This window comes from Homo sapiens, chromosome 5 (genome assembly GCF_000001405.40).
Source record: "Homo sapiens chromosome 5, GRCh38.p14 Primary Assembly".
Classification (NCBI taxonomy): domain Eukaryota; kingdom Metazoa; phylum Chordata; class Mammalia; order Primates; family Hominidae; genus Homo; species Homo sapiens.
This window is the reverse complement of record NC_000005.10, coordinates 110,458,205-110,479,053: the sequence shown is the minus strand read 5'-3', so window position 1 is coordinate 110,479,053 and position 20,849 is coordinate 110,458,205. Positions and strand designations below refer to the sequence as shown.

At 34.9% G+C, this 20,849-nt stretch overlaps 1 protein-coding gene across 16 annotated transcripts in view; it reads left to right on the top strand.

Moving 5' to 3' along the window:
- Positions 1-20,849, top strand: part of TMEM232 (transmembrane protein 232) — a 351,524-nt gene that overhangs the window by 259,901 nt on the left and 70,774 nt on the right. The window contains exon 16 of one of the 16 annotated variants that reach the window (XM_011543559.3): positions 1,736-20,849. This exon is cut by the window's right edge and continues 21,760 nt beyond it. The exons of the other annotated variants lie outside the window; for them this stretch is intronic. Coding sequence (XP_011541861.1) covers positions 1,736-1,769 — 34 coding nt within the window. The 3' untranslated portion in view covers positions 1,770-20,849. The remainder of the gene's footprint in view (positions 1-1,735) is intronic. 16 annotated transcript variants of the gene reach the window in all.

The following is a 20,849-nucleotide window of genomic DNA, read 5'->3' as shown; positions in this document are numbered from 1 at the left end:
ACTTTTTCAGGAATTTCTAGTTCTACCACAGTAATGTAGACCTAACCGCAGACTCAGTAACACTTTAAGTCCCAATCAAGGATACCAATCCATGGCTTTTCACTACCTTATTCTTAACCCACAAAGAAAGAGCAAAAAAAAAAAAAAAAAAAAAAATCAATTTCTCCATCTGCTCATAATCAAAACACTTCTACTTCTCTCACAACAATGCATAGACAAAACACTGCTTAGCATTTCATTAGCTAGCTGAAATGTAATTACAGCAGTGGTCTAACACAAACAGGCAACATTGGCACCTTAAAAGCTCAGTAAACTCAAAACATTGCCTTATGATATTAACATCTTGAAAATTGTGTTAATTCCCTTTGCTGTACATACAGAATTTCAACATCAATGCCCATAAATGAATTTTCATAGTTTCTTATTCTATCTTCCACTTCACGTTTAACACTCTGAATCTTATTTTGTATAATTTACCCTGTATCTGTTTTTATATATACTCATGCAAAATATGTTGGAAAACTGAAGTCATTTTCTAGATAATCCAAGCCCAAAAATGGCCTCAGTTGCTTAGACATTTCAGATGAAGTTGTGTTTCCCTTACTTTGAGTTATAGAGACAATTATCGCAATTCTCCATTTTACATGCATAGGCAAATCCTTAGTATTTAGAGTGTGGAAAACTGCTGAGGACAGTGATTTCAAAAGGAAAGGAAGAAATCTATTTTAAAGTAGAGTAAGAATTTAAATTTATGGTTATTATCTGGCTTAAGGTTTAAAAACTTTATCTTTTTAATATTTCATTAACATTTTAGTGATCAGATTGATTTACATAGTATATAACTTAAAGTGAGAACCATATAGCAGCAAAACTGGGTCGATGTTGATGATTAACGCAGGAAAAATTCATAGCGTGGGATACAGACAGCTTTGCTGTGAATACATAAGAATAAAAGATGCAATTCTTGCCAAGAGATTCTTATGGCTGAGACATGTCACATGGTAATGCTATTCAGAATGTAGTAATGAATGCCTTTCCACTATAATAACACCTATTCTAATCCTCTCATTCTAAACTGAACATAAATATAAAAGATATTAAGAATATATTTGAGATGTCAATGAAATAAAATGTTGTCACAGGATAATGGTCTCTTGCTGCTTCATAAAATACCAAGCCAAAGGCAAAACTTACATTTTCAGAGTAGAAGACATTAATCCCATGATAGTATTTTACTGCAGTGATTGATTGTATTTCTATTATACAAAATGAGCATGTAGATGTAATCAATTCATTTGATGGATGTTGATGTAGTAAGTTGACAATGGTTTATCATCATTATGAATTTTTTTTTGTAAGCAGTTTATAAAAGAAGATACAGATGTTTTAGGAAACTGAACTTGGAGGTGTGGGGAATAGAGGTTTTTGAATAGATGGAGGCTTAAGAGAGTAATAGTTAACACAACCATGAAAGGACGGTGTGATTGATGTATTTACAGCAGTTTGTGTAATATTATTGTTAATATTATACTTTCATATTTCAACTTGCTGACAGATAAAACATAATAATTACATATAATTATTTGACTAAAAAACCACAATAATACAAAGAAAGCTGGACTGCTTCTCAGTATGCTTTACTAAGGCATTTACAAAACTAGATTTGTTACTTTGAATAATAATTGATGAATAGTAGTTGATATCAGTAATCTAGGGCATCATTTCTTATTTCTAGGTACTACCATAATATGAAAAAGATCCATGGTTAAAGATAGTTTGGTGCTTTTTATGGAAGTGCAACCATCTACGGTTAACCAAGCATTTTTCCCAGTGGGAAATGGAAACCATTTATTTCTATTTTCTGTAGAAGTTACATTAATGCCAAAATAGTGGTATGTATTCAGTTGAATATGTTTAGAATAATGTGTTTCATTTAGCAATGCCAGTTCTTTAACATCTGAAACAGGCCTCAGGTTTGTTTTGAAAAACCTTGTCTAAATATTAAAATAGAGCCCAGTCATACAGTTAATTTATTCCCAAAAGGAGATCTGATTTCACATACCGTTTTTGTCCCATTTGCTGGCTGTCTTAATACTAAGGGAATTTCATGTTTCTAAACACCATCTACGTTATCATCCTCTGTCTGTTGGTGTTATAAGGGCCAAGAAATCTGAAAATTAAAATCGTAACCTTTTTCAAAATACAAGAAATAAGGTAACTAATAAAGCTGTTATTTTTCACAAAAATGCAAATCAAGCACACACATTCCTCCCACCATTCATAAAAACATTAGAATGTCCAAACGTGCTGTAATAATTACATCTGGGAAATGCTAGCAGACTTGAGGTACTGTTTGTCATTAGGTTGTTCATTACCATGATTATTCATAGGCAATCCACTGTCAACTTAATTCTTTGTATGAATAGAAGATCTAGAATCATTACAATAACATTTTTCTATATTAATCACAAATCCATTTTTTTGGAATTTTATTATGAACTCTATATTTCAGGATCACATACATTAGTTGGCTAGGGATACCATAACAAAATCAGTATGGGATACTGAAACAAGAGAAATTTATTTACTCATGGTTCCAGATGCTGGAAGTTCAAGATAAAGGGGTTGGCAGGTTTGTTTTCCTCTGGAGTCCTTTTCTTTGACTTGTAAAATAGCTGCCTTCTGGCTGTACCCCTCACAGGTCCTTTTCTCTGTGCTCACACACCTGTTGTTATTTTTGTATCAAAATTTCCTTTTAAGGACACCAGTCAAGTTGGATGAGACCCCATCCATATGACTTCATTTAACATTAATTACCTTTTAAAAGCCCCATCTCCAGGTAGAGTCACAGCATAAGATACTGTGAATTAGGGCTGCAGAATATTAATTATAGGGGAACAAAAAGCAGCCCATAACATATACTAGTAATATTTCCTTTCAATTATGACATTATATATTAAAAAAACTAAAGAATTCAGTGTTGAAATGGGTTGCCCAACAATACCTACAGAGTTAGTAATAAAGCCATATTAATATATGGTCTTTATCAAAGACAACAAAAACGATTCTGTGTTGAAAGTGTTCTGTCAATTTTATTCTTTTGTCCCATTACTGAGGAAAAATCTAAGTACTCTACCTGATGTCTGTGAACTATGAAATTTTCCACTTTGGTTAGAAATTGATTTTTCCGGCCCTGTGTGAACCTCAAGGATTGTTTGCTGTACTTTTTTTTAGTGGTTCTTTCCCCAGACCCTGGTAGTGTCCTCAGGTGCTTGTGCTGCAATTAATGAGTACTCAGCTGAGTGGGGAACTCTGGATATCTGCAGAGTTCTTTCTCTGGGAGGCTTTCACCTGAACTCTCTACTACCTTGCAAACAAACTAGCCACTTTGGCCTCCTTGTACTTATAGCTCTATCTCTTCACTTCAGGAATTTGCTGAGCTCCATCTAGATTCTCCTAGCTTTGGAGATTGGCAGTTTTCCCTGGTTAGTAAGCTGAGACAATTGGACCTCATTTGTTTGCCATTTTTGGAGATTTTTATCCTTCACTGTTTGATGTCCAATATATTGAGAACTGGTTTTTGTAAAAAAAAAAAAAAAAAAAAAAAATCAAAGTATAAATAGAAATCTGTTACTCCCTCTTGACTAAAAGCTATCATTCATATTTAAAAGTACAATCTGTCAGGGATGAAATTTTATATATGGTGTTCCATAGGCATCAAAAGTTTTCTTCCTAATAGATATCCAGTGCATCCAGCCTCAGTTACTTTCACTAAAAATATAGCCTTTCCTTTTCAGAAAAAAAATACAGGCTTTCCTCATAGCACTGCAGGATCACTTTTGTCATAAATCAAGAATTGGCATAACTGTATATATTTGGGTCTGTTGCTGGACTCTCTATTGTTCCATTGGTCTACTTCCTTACACTAATACCATAATTTTAATTTATGTGACTGTGTGATGAATCTTAATAAAATATTTGGGCTTCTACTTCAAGATTGTTTTAGGGCTCTTCAGGACTTTTGAATTTTTACACAAATATTAGCATCTAATATTTAAATGTTGAATCTAGGAACTAATTTGGGAAAAATACTGCACTGAAAAATTGTTTCAATACTATATTGAAAAATATGTATCTTTTGGTCTATGATCATAGTATAGTCTTCAGTTCACTGAAGTGTTCTTTTATTTCTGACAATATTCAGTGTAGAAATTGTAATAATTTTTCATTAGCATTATTTGTTTTTTCTTGATGTTTTTCAAATGACATCTTTTAAATTTTTATTTGCTATTTCTTGCTAATACAAAGAAATAGCAATGATTTTATATATTAACTGTTTCTATAGCAACTTATTAAATATGCATATTAAGTCTAATTATTTATAAGTGGGTATCTTTATTTTCTAAGTATAAAAGTCACTAAGGATAACAATTTTTTCTGTTCTTTAAAATTCCAATATGTATGCCTTTTATGTCCTTGCCTTTCCTCATTGTGCTAGCTAGAACTTCTAATTTATAGTTAGATAGAAGTGATCATAGTGTACATTTCTTGAATCATTCCCAATATCATGGGTAAAGGTCTGAGTAAATCACCATTAAAGGTGATATTAGCTGTAGGTTTTTTTTCCCAAGAATATGTAAAATGAGAATTGGAGTTTAAAAACAGAACAGGGATACATTAAACAATTAGCTGTAGGTTTTAAAAAATCTTTACCAGGTTAAGAAGTAACTTCTAGCCATAATTTGCTAATATTTTAAAAGTTTCATTGTATTTTTAATTGACATATAATAATTGTACATATTTATGGGGTACCATGTGACATTTCAGTGTAAGTACATGTTATATAATGATCAAATCAGGGTAATTAGCAAATCATTTATCTCAAACATTTATTTGTGATGAGAACATTCAGAATCCGTTCTTATAGCTATTTTGAAATGTACAATGTATTTTTGTTAACTATAGTCACTATATTGTGCAATGGAACACCACAATTTACTTATTTTATCTAGCTGTAACTTTGTGTACCTATTGATCAACCTCTCCCCATTTCTCTCTACCCCCTACTCTCCCCCACCCCCAGCCTATGATAGTAACCACTTTTGATTTCACACAGGAGTAAGTTATTTTGCGGGTTTTTTTTTTTTTTTTTTTTTTTTTTTTGGTGTCTGGCTTATTTCACTTAACAGAATGTCCTCCAGGTTTATCTATGTTATTGCATATCATAGAATTTCCTCTTTTTTTTTGAATTTGACTAGTATTCCATTGGGTATATATATTATATTTTCTTTATTCATTTTTTCCATTGATCGACACTTACATTGATTCTATATCTCAGCTATGGTGAATAGTGCTGCAATAAACATGGGAGTGCAGATATCTATTTGACATAATGATTTCCTTTGAATATATACCCAGTAGTGAGATTGCTAGATCATGTGGTACTTCAATTTTTTTTTTAATTTTTTAATTTTTAATTTTTGAGAGTACATAGTAGGTGTATACATTTATTATTTTCAATATTTTAGAAACCTCCATAATATTTAACATAATGACTGTACGAATTTATATTCCTACCAACAGTGCATAAGGGTTCCCTTTTCTTCACATCCTTGGCAACACTTATCTTTTGTTTTTTAGATAACTTTGCATTTTATCTGGAGGGCGGTGATATCTCACTGTGGTTTTGAGTTGCATTTTCCTGATGATCAGTGATGTTGAGTATTTTTATGTAACTTTTGGGCATTTGTATGTCTTCTTTTGAAAAATATCCATTCACATATTTTGCCCATTTTTAATCCATTTTGTTTGTTATTGAGTTGTTTCAGTTTCTTGTATATTCTGGTTATTAACCTCTTGTCAGAAGTATAGTTTGCAAAAATTTTCTCCCATTCGACAGGTTGTCTCTTCACACTGTTGGTGGTTTTCTTAGCTGTGTAGAAGTTTCTTAGTTTGATATGTTTGATATAATCTTATTTGTCCTTTTTTTTTTTTGCATTTGTTGCCTGTGCTTTTTAGGTTTTATCCAAAAAAATCTTTGCCCAGACCAATATTATATAGCATTTACTCTATGTTTTATTCTGGTTTTTTCATAGTTTCGAGGTCTTACATTTAACTCTGTAATGCATTTGGAGTTAATTCCTTACATATGAGAGATAGGGGACAAATTTTATTCTTCTGAATGTAGACATTCAATTTTCCAACCATCATTTATTGAAAAGACTGTCCTTACCCCAGTATGAGTTTTTGGCCCGTTTGGCAAAAATAAGTTGGCTTAAGAGCTATGGGTTTATTTCTGGGCTCTCTATACTGTCCCATTGGTCTATGTATTCATTTTTATGTCAACACCATGCTTTTTTTGTTATTATAGCTTTGTAGTATATTTTGAAGTTAGGTAGTGAGATGCCTTCAGCTGTGTTGTTGTGTTTATTTGGTTTTGGTTTTGTTTGCTCAAGAGTGCTTTGATTTACAGAGTCTTTTGTGGTTCAATAAAAATTTTAGGATCCCTATTTTTTCTATTTCTGTAAAGAATTCATTGGTATTTTGATAGGTATTGCATTGACTCACTCTGCAGAATAATTTTGGGAGTATGGACTTTTTAACAATACTAATTCTTCCACTGCATATACACAGGATATTTTTTCCATTTATTTATGTCCACTTCAATTTTTATAATCAGTGTTTTATAGTTTTTGTTTTGGAGATTTTTTACCTCCTTAGTTAAATTTATTCCAAGGTATCTTATTTTTTGTAGTTATTGTGAATGGAGTTGTTTGCTTTTATTTCTTTTTCAGATAGTTCATCATTAGCATGTAAAAATGCTACCAATTTTTTATGTTGATTTTGTATCCTGAAACTTTACTGAATTTGTTTATTAGTTATAATAGTTTTTTGTGGAGTCTTTGGCTTTTCTATATAAGATCACATCTCCTGCAGATCAGGACAGTTCGACTTCCTCCTTTCCTATGTGGATGCATTTTCTTTCCTTCTTTAGTCTAACTGTTCTGGCTAAAACTTCCTGTAATATGTTGAATAGAAGTGTCTAGGAACTTATCTCTTTCTTCTAGGTTTCCCAATTTGTAGGTGTATAGTTGTTCATAGTAGTAGTCTTTTATGATCCTTTCCATTTCTGTGTTATATGTTGTAATGTCTTCTTTTTCACCTTTGATTTGATTTCTTTGAGTCTTCTCTCTTTTTTGACTTCTTAGTCTGGCTTAAAGTTTGTTGGTTTGTTTATCTTTTCTGAAAAACAACTTTGTTTCTACTCAAAGGACTGTCATAGTCATGTTTTGTAGGTTAGCTCTAGTAGTGATAAATTTCCTCAACTTTTGCTTGTCTGGAAAAGATTTTATTTCTCCTTTCTCATTAATGAAGGACTGGTCTGCTAGGTATAGAATTCTTGGCTGCCAGGTTTTTTTTGTCTTCTTTTTTTTTTTCTTTCAGCACTTGGAATATGTCATCCCATTCTCTCCTGGACTACACAGTGTCTGCTGTGAAGTTCACTGATATCATAATGGAATTCCTTTATATGTGACTCTGCTTTTTTCTTGCTGTCTTTAAAATCCTCTCATTGTCTTTGACTTTTGAGGGTTTAATTAATGTCTCTAAGTGAAGTCCTCTTTGGTTTTAATCTGCTTGGGGACCTTTGAGCTTCATCTATCTGGATTTCCATATCTCTTCAAACACTTGGGAAGTTTTCACCAATTATTTTATTAAGTAAGTTTTCTGTCTGCATCTTTCTCTCTTTTCCTTCTGGAATTCCCATAATACAAATGTTTGTTCATTTAATGCTGTCCCATAAGTCTTGTATACTGTCTTCACTGTTTTTCATTCTTATGTTTTTCTTTCTTCTGACTTGGTAATTTCAAATGACCAGTCTTCAAGTTCAGAGATTCTTTCTTTTGCTTTATTTAGTCTCAACTGTATTTTTTGAAGCTCTCTATTGTACTTTTTTATTTTATTCATTGAATTCTTCAACTCCAATATTTCTGTGTGGTTGTTTTTAATGATGTCTATCTCTTTGGTAAGGTTATCATTTAGATCATGAATAGTTTTCCTGGTTTAACCAAATTGTCTATCTGTATTATCTTGTATCTCACTGAGTTTCCTTAAGGTCATTATTTTGAATTTCTTTTCTGGCAATTTGTAGATTTTCAATTCTTTGGGACCTGTTACTGGACTACTATTGTGCTCCTTTGGTGGTGTCAGATTTTCTTGATTTTTCATTGCTTTTTTGTGTCTCTGTGTTGATGTCTGTGCATCTGGTGTAACAATCACCACTTCTAAACTTTAGAAAGTGGCTTTCATAGAGAAATACTTTCACCTGAAAATGGGTCTTAATGTCCTGGTTAGGAAGGGTGTGCTGACTCTGGTTCTAAGTTGCAATCAACATCAGCAATAACTGGGTACCTCAGTGGCCTATGCTGTAGGAGTTTGTAGGAGTGATGGTGGCAGCACAAGTTATTAGGGTCCTCAGTGGCAAGAGTTTATATCGTCCTCTTATTTTTTTATTTCCCACAATGGGGAGACTAAGCCAAGGAAATTTCCCTTGGTGCTGTGTCTGACTTGGTTCCTAAGCAGCTGCAGCATGCTGGGTTCCAGGGCACAGATGTTTACAGTGGCTATGAAGCAGGGGTTCCAGGTCAGTGTCTTGTGAACTTTTTGTGGCACCTGGGCTTTTACATACAAGTTCATTCTCTGTGGTCGGGTAGAATGTGGATTCCTCACAGAACCATGGTCTGTGACTGTGAGGCATCTTCTAGCGCTTGTGCCCAGGGAACAAGGTTGTAGCTATAACTCTGACCCTACGGGCAGGGCACAGCACAGGCCCGTCCCTGGGGAAGAGAAGGTTTTCTAGATGTTTGGGTCCAGGGAGCACGGTACAGCTGCACTGCATGAAACAGAACCAACAAGGTTCATTAGAAACTCAGGTCTCAGGGGATGAGGCACTGTGTAGCAGTGACTCTGGACCCTGGGATAGTTAGACTTGGCAGTATCCCAAACTCTGTGAAGCCAGATGCAGCAGGAGTACGAACTCCAACATGGTAGAGTATGGCTGTTGCTGGGGTTCCGGGGGGGCAGGGAGCATCACAGTAATGACTCCACTCTTTGGCAAAGAAAATGTCCAGCAGCTCAAATTTTAGGGGACTATTCCAACTTCAGGGAAGCAGAGTGTTAGAGTTTTATGGACTGTAAGGCAGGGTGTCTCAGCTCAGCCACTACATTTTTTCCCCTGGGACATAGAATGCTCTATCAGTGCAATCGTGGTGTACATAGCTGCTCCGCTTAGCCAACGCACTGATTCCCTGGAAGGCAATGTGTCATTTCAGCTCAGGCTGAGGGGATTGACAGCTCTGGGTGGCTAAGGCACTGTTTCCCCTGGATACAGAGCATCACCTCAGTGCTGACACGGGAACAGGGTGCAGCAGCAACTAGGAGGGATATATCAATCAGCTCCACCAAGGCACCATTTCCCTAGGAGGGAATGCACAGCTTTAGCTCAGGTTCCATGGTTCAGAGTGCAGCAGTGGCTTGGAGAGGGGTAGATAGGGTGGCTTCACCAAGGCACCATTTCCCCAGGAGGAATGTGTAACTTCAGCTTGGTCTCTGAGGAGGCAGGGCACAGCCATGACTGGCATGAGTAGGTGGCATGGCTTCAGGGGTGCTTGGCCGCATTTGGTAGGGTATAACAGCAGTTCACAGCCCAGCTCAGAGATACTGGACTACCAGACAAGCATGATTTAGTGGCTGCTAAGCCTCAGGGATGGGAGATTTCCATGGCTACTCAATCTGTAGCAAGACACATGCCAGCCATAGTTCCAGTTCCAAAATGGTATGGTGTAAAAGCTCTGCAGGCCACTGAGCGAGGGGCACAGTATTGGCTGTTTGTTTCTATGGGGGAAGCACAAATGTATGGACTCCAGACAGCTCCCTTAGCTGGACTTCATTCTCATGAGGATTGCTGAAGACCCCAGTGGTGAGAACTTTAGGTTCCAAAATGTTGATTGGGGCTGCTGGGATCCTATTGCTTACTTTTTCCCCACAGAGAGAAGTTCCTCCTGGTTTCAAGCTTATTCTGGTTTAGGGATGAATTAGTGAAGGCCAGGTATTTTCTTTTGTTCTCTATGTTTCTAGAGTTTTTGTGCTCTACATGGTTTCTGGTACTCCTTTGACATATTCCAGTACTCTCCTTTAGTTATTTTTATCCAAATATAGTTGTTAATTGTTTCTGCTGACTTTGTGGTAGTTACAAGAACTAAGGGCTTCTAGACAGCCATCTTACTGACATTATTCCTAAGATTTTTTTATTATTATGAAAGGATCTGGGATTTGAGCAAATATGTTCATTCATCTATTAAGATGATTATATAATTTTATTAAACTGGTAAATTTTTCATCACAAATTAACCTTGCTTTCCTGGGGTTATACTTATATAATCATGACATATTGTGGTTTTTATATATCATTCGAATAGAATTTCCAATGTTTCATTTAACATTATCACATCCCTGTTTATAAGAAATATAATTATTAGCCTTTCCTTTTACATTGATATTTAAAGTTATAAATTTATTTAAGGCAAGCTTTTATTTAGGGCTATAAATTTCCCTCTAACAACCTTAGTTCATCATTTTATAGTAGTATGTCTATACTCTCAGTTTAAAATAGTTTCAAAATTTTCATGTAATGTTTTTAAGCGTTTAATCAAGGTCTGCTAGTAATAAATTCTTTAAACTTTTTATGTTAAAAAAACATTATTTTATGCTCTTATATGAAATATATTTATTTATTTTCACTGGGAAGATAATTTTGGATTGGTGATTATTTTCTTTCAAAATTTAAAAGATGTTATTTCATTGTATTCTGGGTTCCATTATTCCTGTTGAGAAGTTAGCTGTAATATATCTTTTTTTTATTTTAAAGTAAAGTAATGTATCTATCTTTTTTTTTCTTCCAATGAATATCCCTTGTTGTGGGTTGAATTGTGTTCCCCTGAAATTATGCTGAATTGGAATGGGCCCCTATTCCCATATGACTGGTGTCCTTATAAAAAGTGGGGATTGGCCACAAATATGCACACAGGAAGAATGTCATGTAAAGGTAAATCCACATATCAGGGTGATGCACCCAAAGCCAAAGAGTATAGAAGATTCCCAAAACAAACAACAAAAGAACCCTGCTAGACTAGAATCTTGGATAGAAGAACCTTGGGATGTGTTTCTCTCTTATAGCTCACAGAAGGAGCCATGTGGACACATTGATCATGGAATTCTAGCTTCCAGAACTGTGTGAAAATATATTTTTATTTATTTTTGAATCTACCCAATTTGTGGTACTTTTTAATGGCAGTCCTAGCAAACTAATAGAAATATTATTTGAATATTTTTATCTTTCACTTTCAGTAGTCTTAATATGATGTATATAGGCGTAAATTTTTATGTATTTGTTGTATCTTTTGTTTGCAAAGCTTTTTGAAATATTTCATGAGTTCTGGATATGATGGCTTTCATAGTTTTGAAGCTATTCTGCAAATGCAGTTTTTATTCTTAGTGGCTTTCTGTTAGTGTATTAGCTGCCCAACTGCATAAGCTTTAGAATTTGAAAGAACTCTTCAAAGAAAAACTGGCTGAATTTTGAAACTCATCCGTTATTCAGTTTTATCTCATCAGCCTTAGAACACCACCATCTCTCCTAATTTCTCTGTTCTCTACCAGGAGGCTCCTACCTGGGAAAAGCCTAGATTTTTAGTCACATATTCTGCAGGCAGAACTGACAAATTAAATGGAGAAAAGTATCCTAGGGGAGGGTTAGCCTACCTCTCTATGGTTCTGTTCCTTTGAAAACCTTTTTTATCCAGTCTTCATGATTTCAGCATCACAATGATGTCTTTAGCCAGATGAATTATGTAAGCATATTTTTCCAACTTTATTGGTAGACATATTGGTCTGCCGTCCATCTTCTTTAAATTTTTTTTCTGATTATAACCATAATATATATATTTCATAAAATATTGAGTAAAAGAAATGCCATCAATGATCCCTTTTTCTATCAACCTTAGATAATGATAATCATTGTAATATTTTAGTGTGCTCCTTCCAGATCTATTTTTTGGAGGTGGCTTATCCAGCATACACCACACACACACACACACACAAATACTATAGTTCAAGCAACATTAAGGTATTGTGCTTGGCCAGGTCACGAGGTCAGGAGATCGAGACCATCCTGGCTAATACAGCGAAACCCCGTCTCTACTAAAAATACAAAAAAAAATTAGCCGGGCGTGGTGGTGGGCACCTGTAGTCCCAGCTACTCGGGAGGCTGAGGCAGGAGAATGGCATGAACCCAGGAGGCAGAGCTTGCTGTGAGCCGAGATTGCGCCACTGCACTCCAGCCTGGGCAACAGAGCAAGACTCCATCTCAAAAAAAAAAAAAACTATGCTTGTCCTATGAACCTTAAAATCTAGAACTAAATATACTTTAATGGATATGGGGACAGATTATAAATACCAAAAAGTCCCTGTGCAATAAAGTTACTTAACTCTGTTGAGTAAATAAACTCATGGAAAACAAAATGTTCACAATTAGGAGATGACTAGGTAGAGGAAGCATAGAAAAGTGGATACTGGAGAAACCAACTTCTGTATACCTAATTCTCTGATTTTTTGCCAAATATGCAAACTTTTAAAAAAATAATTTCCTCCATGGAATTGCCTATAGAGAGAGATTATGCTTTTAAATTAGTTCTCTTTGTAATTCATTATCTTGGTATTCTGTTTTTGTGTATGTATTTTCAAAAATTTGGTTTATGTGAATCTACATTAGAAAGTGATCTACTTTTCTGTGGTGATATCACTTTCTTTTGCCTTAGCAGTACTAAGGTAATATTTTGGGAATTTTTCAAAGTTGTGATTAGCTTTTCTCAAACAATCCAATCTCTCCATAAATGCCTTTCTATCCAAACAGCTATATTCAATTAGTAGATAGATTTCTAATTTACATAATCAATATTATTTTGTATATATATTTTTAATCTGCTATTTTCAGTTGCTCATGAAAGATCATTTTTTTCAACTCATTAAATGTATCTAGAATGAATGTATTATGAGAGTGGAGATTTTCTGTCTTGTTTATTGCCATATTCCATTACTAGAGCAGAAAGAAGCTCATGCATGGTAGATACCCAATAAATATTGGAGAACTAACTTAATAAATGAACTCATATTTTTCTAACCAATTGGGAGTGGTGAGTAGCATATTCCATGTAGGAGCAATAACTCATTTTACCAATTCTCTATTATTGGCCATTAGTAACACCCAATTTTTTACTTTTATCAACAAAGCAATGATAAATGAATTTGAGGATATATCATTGGACACATTTATTTAGTTCAAATTTCTAGATTAGTTGTCTATATGTGTTAGATTTTTGGAATTGTCAAATTTCTAAAGCAAACTTTAAATGTCTATTTATATACCAAAATATTGAGTCTAAATAGGCAATGAAAATCAAAATTTTTATCAAATAAACATATACACAAAGAAGAAAAGAAAATAATGCTGTGGTACTTTCACACCCATATAATGAAACCTGACCCAACTAAAATATTATGCAGCCTGAGTTCAGGGCTGGTAAGGTGACTGAGCTCTAGGCTACCCTTTTATAGAGGCTGCCTTTTCATAAGATGTTAACCACCAATCAGAGATGACATTGATGGAATGGCTTAAGAAGTTGAACATGACAGTTTTGTCAGGTAAACTTCCCAGTGACAAACAGAAAGCTGGACATAGCCTCAGCTCTGGAGGATACCTCACAGATATAATATTTTGCCAAGACAGCTTTCTAAACAGTCTAATCTTCTCAACCTGGTTTTCCCTGTCTTTGTCTATCTGAATATTCATTGACAGTGTGCTAATGCAGAAAGTAAAGACAGCTTTTCACTCTACACCTACATTGAAGATCATTTGGTAGTGCTATCCTTTGTCGATTTGTTAGACCATCTCAGCTTTCTTTGAGAAAAGTGTCTGTTTATAAGGATGTACTGCCTTAAGGAAGCCAGTCCTTAGCTTTGGCTGGCTTCCTGTGTAAGCATTACCATGATGGGCATTAGTATTCTCCACTTCTTATTTACTGTCTCAAGGTTCTTAGAAATGTATGCAGTTTAGTGAACTATAGCATGAAATTTTAGAGTAGGTTCATGATAGATAGATAGATAGATACACAGATAGATACATAGATTGATAGCTAGATCATAGATTTATGGTATATATGAGTTTAACTCCCAGGTCTTTCCAAATGCTATGGTGATTCGTATTATCCTAGTTATCTCTTTTGTTCAAAATGTAATGCTCTCCACTTAGTTGTTACATGGAACAGCTTTTCCCATAAACTTAGTGGTGTCAAATTTCCCTCGTTATATAAAGATGACATTTTAAAATTCTCTGACTGATTCTTTGTGATACACCTGAATAAATTTGAGCTTAAAAGTCACACCATATGCTAGCAGGGCTGGACACCTAGGTGTCCATTTACATTTATGGCATTCTTCCAATTGCAACCAGCTACCAATTAGTGGCATTTTGAACAAACTGGAAGCATTCATAAGTCTAGATTCTAGACTTACTCTGGCCTATGATGGCAATTCCAGATTTGAAGCTTTTTCCCTTGTTCTGCCTTCCCCAGTGTCTTCATTCATTGACTCAAGAAATGAATAGTAAGATGCTATTGTCTAGTAGAAACAATACAAGACTTTATTTTGTAGCTTTTGTTCATTTTTCACTCATTTGATAAATATTAAATATCTACAATTTTTCAGCCACTGCGTTCTGCTGATAAAGAACAGACACCTCTTATAGGTGTCTATATAAGGAACTATATTCCTTCCTCTTATAGTTCTTGAATGGGGACAACAAATGTGTAACTTCGGTGTGTGAGAACTGCTATGAAAGAAGTTCAAGTAATGGTATGAAAAATTAGATTATGACTTCTTTATATAGGATGGTCAGGAAAGGCCTCTCAGAGGAGGTAGCATTTGAGCTAAGACCCATATGATAAAATGAGACAGCCATGTGAATACCTGGAAGATGAGTATTTCAAATAGGAGGCACAAAGGCCTCCAGGTGAAAAGTATTCAGCCTGGCCTGTGTAAGGGGTAGAAATAAGGCCAGTGTGACTGGAGAACACAGAATAAAGATGAAATACAGGGAAATCAGGTGGGTGGTCTTATGTAGGGCAGGTGAGATGCAATGGAGGGTGTGGAGTAGGGCAGGAGAAGTGAAATTAGAGAAGACTGTTTTGAAGGTAGAACTAACCATATTTGCCAATAAATTGGATATGTCAAAAAGGTGGGCAAAAGAGGCCTTAGGAGTAAGACTCATGTTTTTAGACTCAGCAATAGAGAGAATTGTACCATTTAACTAAAATCAGGTGGAATGGTTTTGAATGAGAAAAGAAGAAAAGCCGGAATTAAATGATTAAGAATAATATATTTAGGGTTTGAAGCATATAAAGTTTAGAATATCTAATAAACATCTAAATATGATATGTATATAAGCATAACTCAGAGATATTGCAAGTTGGATTCTAGACTACTGCAATAAAGAGAATATCACAATAAAGTGAGTTACACAATTCTGTTATTCCCCAGTGCATATAAAAGTTATGTTTAAACTATACTGTAGTCTATGAAGCATGCAATAACATTATGTCTCAAAAATGCACATACCTTAATTTGAAGATATTTAGTTGTTAAAAAATGCTAACAATCATCTGAGCTTTCAGTGAGTCACCGTCTTTCTTTTTGCTGGTGGAGTGCCTTGCCTTGATGTTGATGGCTGCTGACTGATCAGGGTTGTGGTTGTTGAAGATTTGGGTGGCTGTGGCAATTTCTTAAAATAAGACAACAATAAAGTCGCCACAATGAAAGATTTCTCTGTAACCTGAAATACTGTTGGATAGCATTTGACCCATGGTAGAACTTTTTTTCAAAAATGGAGTCAATCCTCTCAAACCCTGATACAGCTTTATCAGCTAAGTTTATTTGATATTTAAATCCGTTTTTGCATTTCAACAATGTTCACAGCATCTTTACCAGGAGTAGAATCCATCTCAAGAAACCATTTCTTTTGCTCATCCATAAGAAGCAACTCCACATATGTTCAAATTTGATCATGAGTTTGCCGCAATTGTCACATCTTTAGACTCCACTTCTAATTTTAATTCTGCTATTTCCACCACCTCTATGGTTGTTTTCGTCACTGTAATTGTATTAGGGTACCCTAGAGGGACAGAACTAATAGGATAGATGTATATATAAAGGGGAGTTTATTCAGGAGTATTGACTCATATTATCACAAGATGAAGTCCCACAATAGGCTGTCTGCAAGCTGAGGAGCAAGGAAGCCAGTCAAAGTCCCCAAACCTCAAAAGTAGGGAAGCCAGCAGTGCAGCCTTCAGTCTGTGGCCAAAGGTCCAAGAGTCCCAGAGTTGAAGAACTTGGAGTCTGATGTTCGAGGGCAGGAAGCATCCAGCACGGGAGAAAGGAGGAGGCTGGAAGACTAAGCCAGTCTTGTCTTTCCATGTTCCTCTGCCTGCTTTTATCCTAGCTGCGCTGGCAGCTGATTAGATGGTGCCCACCCAGATTGAGGGGGGTCTGCCTTTTCCAGTCCACTAACTCGAATATTAATCTCCATTGGCAGCACCTTCATAGACACACTCAGGAACAGTACTTTGCATCCTTCAATCCAATCAAAGTTGACACTCAATATTAACCATCACAGTAGTCTTGAACTCCTCAAAGTTATCCGTAAAGGCTGGAATCAACTTCTTCCAAACTATTGATGTTGATGTTTTGACCTCCTCCCATAAATCATGAATGTTCTTAATGACATCAAGAATGGTGAATCCTTTTAGAATGGTTTCAATTTACCTTGCTCATATCCATTATAAGAATCACTATCTTTGGCAGCTACAGTCTTACAAAATGTATTTCTTAAATTAGAAGATTTGAAAGTCAAAATTGCTCCTTGATTCATGGGCTCTGGAATGGATATTGTGTTAAAAGACATGAAACCAACATTAATCTCCTTGTACATCTCCACCAGAGCTTTTGGATAACTAGGTGCATTGTCAATGGGCAATAACATTTTGAAATACATTTTTTTTTAGGAACAGTAGTTCCTAAAATATGCTTAAAATATTCAGCAAACCATGCTGTAAAAACATGTGCTGTCATTTAGGCTTTGTTAAACTATATTTAGAGCATAGGCAAAGTAGATTTAGCATAATTCTCAAGGGCCCTAGAACTTTTGGAATGGTCAATGAGCATTGGCTTCTAGTTACATTCATTGGCTGCATTATCCCCTAAGATGGTCAGCCTGTCCTTTGAAACTTTGAAGCCAAGCATTGACTTCTTTCCAGCTATGAAAGTCCAAGATGAAATCTTCTTCCAATAAAAAACCTTTTCATCCACATTGAACATATGTTGTTTGTTTAGTGTAGCCACCTTCATCAATTATCTTAGCTATATCCTTTGGATAACTTGCTGCAGTTTCTACATTAGCACTTGCCGCTTCACCTTGCACTGTTATGATATAGGAACAACTTATTTCCTTAAGCTTCATGGACCAACCGCTGCTGGATTGCAACTTTTCTTCTGCAGCTTCTTTACCTCTCTCAGTCTTCATAGAACTGAAGAGAGTCAGGGCCTTGCTCTGGATTAGGCTTTGGCTTCATCCTCTATCCAGACCATGAAAACTTTCTCCATATCAGCAATTAAATTGTTTTACTTTTTTTTTTAATCATTCATGTGCTCACTAGAGTAGCACTTTTAATTTCCTTTAATAACGATTCTTTTTTTTGCATTCACAGCTTGACTATTTGGTACTAGAGACCTAGCTTTTGGCCTATTGCAGTTTTCATATGTCTTTCTTACTAAGCCTAATCATTTCTAGATTTCGATTGAAAGGGAGAGACATGTGACTCTTCCTTTCATTTAAACACTTAAAGGCCATTGTGGGATTATTAATAGGCCTAATTTAAATATCGTTATGCCTCAGGGAATAGGGAAGCCCCAGCAGAGGGGGAGAGATGGGGGAAAAACTGGTCAGTTGAGCAGTCAGAACACGTACAATGTGTATCTGAGTTTGCCATCTTCTATAGACAGAGTATGTGACACCCCAAAACAATTACAATAGTTACATCAAAGATCACTAATCACAGCTCACCATATCAGATATGATAATGAAAATGTTTTAAATATTGTGGGAATTACTAAATGTGACACAGAGACACCGAGTGCGCACATGCTGTTGGAAAATGATACCAATAGATTTGCTCGATATAAAGTTGCCACAAAACTTTAATTTGTAAAAAAAAAAAAAAGAAAAATGCAATATCTGTGCAATTCAATAAAGCAAAGCACGAGAAAATGAAATATGCCTATAGTAGTATATGTGTGTGTGTTTGAAGTGGCAAATTATACTTAAAGGCAATATTTTTAGTGTCCCAAAATTGATTTAAGCAAAAGTATTAATTTCTTTGCAGTATTTTTTGAATAAATGTTTAGCATCTTAATGCAAATATTTTTGAGGTAACATATTGCTTTAATACAATTTCAAGCATAGGAAAAGTTGTGAGATTACTATAGAGAGCATCCATATACCCTTTTCCCAGATTCACAAATGTTTACATATTGCCTCATTTACTTTATCATTCATTTCCTTTCCATCTACACACACATACACACACACACACACACACTTACTTATACATTTTTACTAAACTGTTGTAAATTTCAGACATCATACCTTTTTCCCCTTAACACCCCAGTGTATTCCTCAGACCAATAAGATTATCTTATATAAACACAGAACACTGATTAAAATCAGGAAATTAAAATTGATATAATGCTATCTTATAATTCACAGTCATACTAAGTTTTTTTCAATTGTCTTCAAATTATTTAATAGTTATTTTTCCTCCAGGTTCAGGATTCAGTCCAGGATCACACACTGCAATTGATTGTCATGTCACCTTTGTCTCATTTGTTTGGACTTGTTTCTCAACCTTTCTTCGTGGTTCTTAATCTTGACATTTTTTACAGAATACAGGGAATAGTTTGTAGAATGAAACTCAGCTTGAGTTTAATTTTTCCTCATGATTAGTTGCAGGTTATGTAACGTCAGCAAGAATAGCACAGAAACAATGTGTCCTTCTCAGTGTATCATATCAGGGATGACATTCATTTGTTCTTTTATTGGTGATTTAAATTTTCGCCACCTGGTTAAGGGGGTGTCTAATAGATTTCCCCATCATAAAGTTACTCTATATTCCCTTAGTAATTAACTAATTTGTAAGAAAATATTTTGACACACTCTAAATAGCCTGTTTCCCATTAAACGTTTACCCACTAAGTGTAATATCCATTGATGTTTCTTGTCTGGTATTTCTTACATTACTATTATGGTTACAAAATTATTTTTCTACCTTGTAACATTTATGAGTTAGCATTCTCCTAAAAGAGCTTTTTACTTTTTAATTAATTTCAATTTCATTTTTTAATTTGGATGGCCTATAGGCATGCTCTCATAATATTTTTAATTCACTAGTATATAAGATAAAAAACAGGACTTATTCCTAAGATTAAAAAACCTTTTATTTTGTATTTTTAAGATCAAACTCGGTGCTATATGTCTTTGAAGTTTTGTGAGACTTTTGACATTGAGAGACATCAATCTGTTGATTGATCAAAGAATAAAACTCAGTTCAAATAAGAGTTTGTCCACATAGTCTAAAGATAGTTTTACCTTGCCTACCATCAGGAGACAAGAGTTGCTACTGATACAGTTGAAAATAGTAGAAAGTTGATATTTCCAAGGTAATAGCATAAAATGTAATCTCTAATATTTATATTTGCTACAGGGAAATATGTAAACAAAATAACAAGGCTGGTAAAGAAATGTGCATAGCTCAGTTCTGAAGATGCCATCAAATGGTCTTATCTCCTGAAAGATGCCTGAAGGTTATCCCCCCAAATTAATTTTTGTTACCCTAATAAAGACATTAATTTTTGTTTGATATACTACATAAAGCTGAAAGTAAGAAGAAAAAAATAACTCAGTAGAATACCACTATAATGTTGGATATTAAGTGCAACTTAGCACCAATTAGTTTAGCAAATATTTATGTGGAGTATTTTATATGCAACGGCATCCAACCAAGCAAAAACAATAAACTCATTATTTCATCCCCTGAGCATTTCAACTCCCTTAACTGCTCCAAACACATAGAGGGAATATAAAAATATTTTTTAAGCTTAAAAATATATAGTCTTAAAAACTAATAAAAGTACATCCATATATAAACACCATAAAATAAATGGAAATTAATGAATGGATTTCAACTGAGTGGTTAAAAGCAGGTAGAGACTTCCATGAGATTAGTTGCTAGGAGAGGTATCAGGGAATAAATGCACCCTAGATTATAGCTAGGCTTAGTGCCGTAGTTTCAGCCAGCACCCATCTCTCCTGCAGAGGGGCCTTAGCTACTAGACAGCTACTATTCATGCTGCCAGGGCCTATGCCTTGTGTCAGGCTGCACTCCTGGAAAATTCAGAGAACACAGATAGAAATCCCTAAACTAGTAACTGAGTTAAGCCCCCTGCCAGATTGTTAATTAGCAGTATCCTCATAGAAATAAAGATCAGGAGCTCCTCAAAGCCAACATATGATCTTGTTTTGTACTAGAGCACTGGAGACAACCTGAAAAAAAAACAAAAAAAAGATGACAAAACAAAGACAAAGAGAAAATTGCGCAAAGGAAGAAGGAGGACAACAAGTGAGGGGTAGA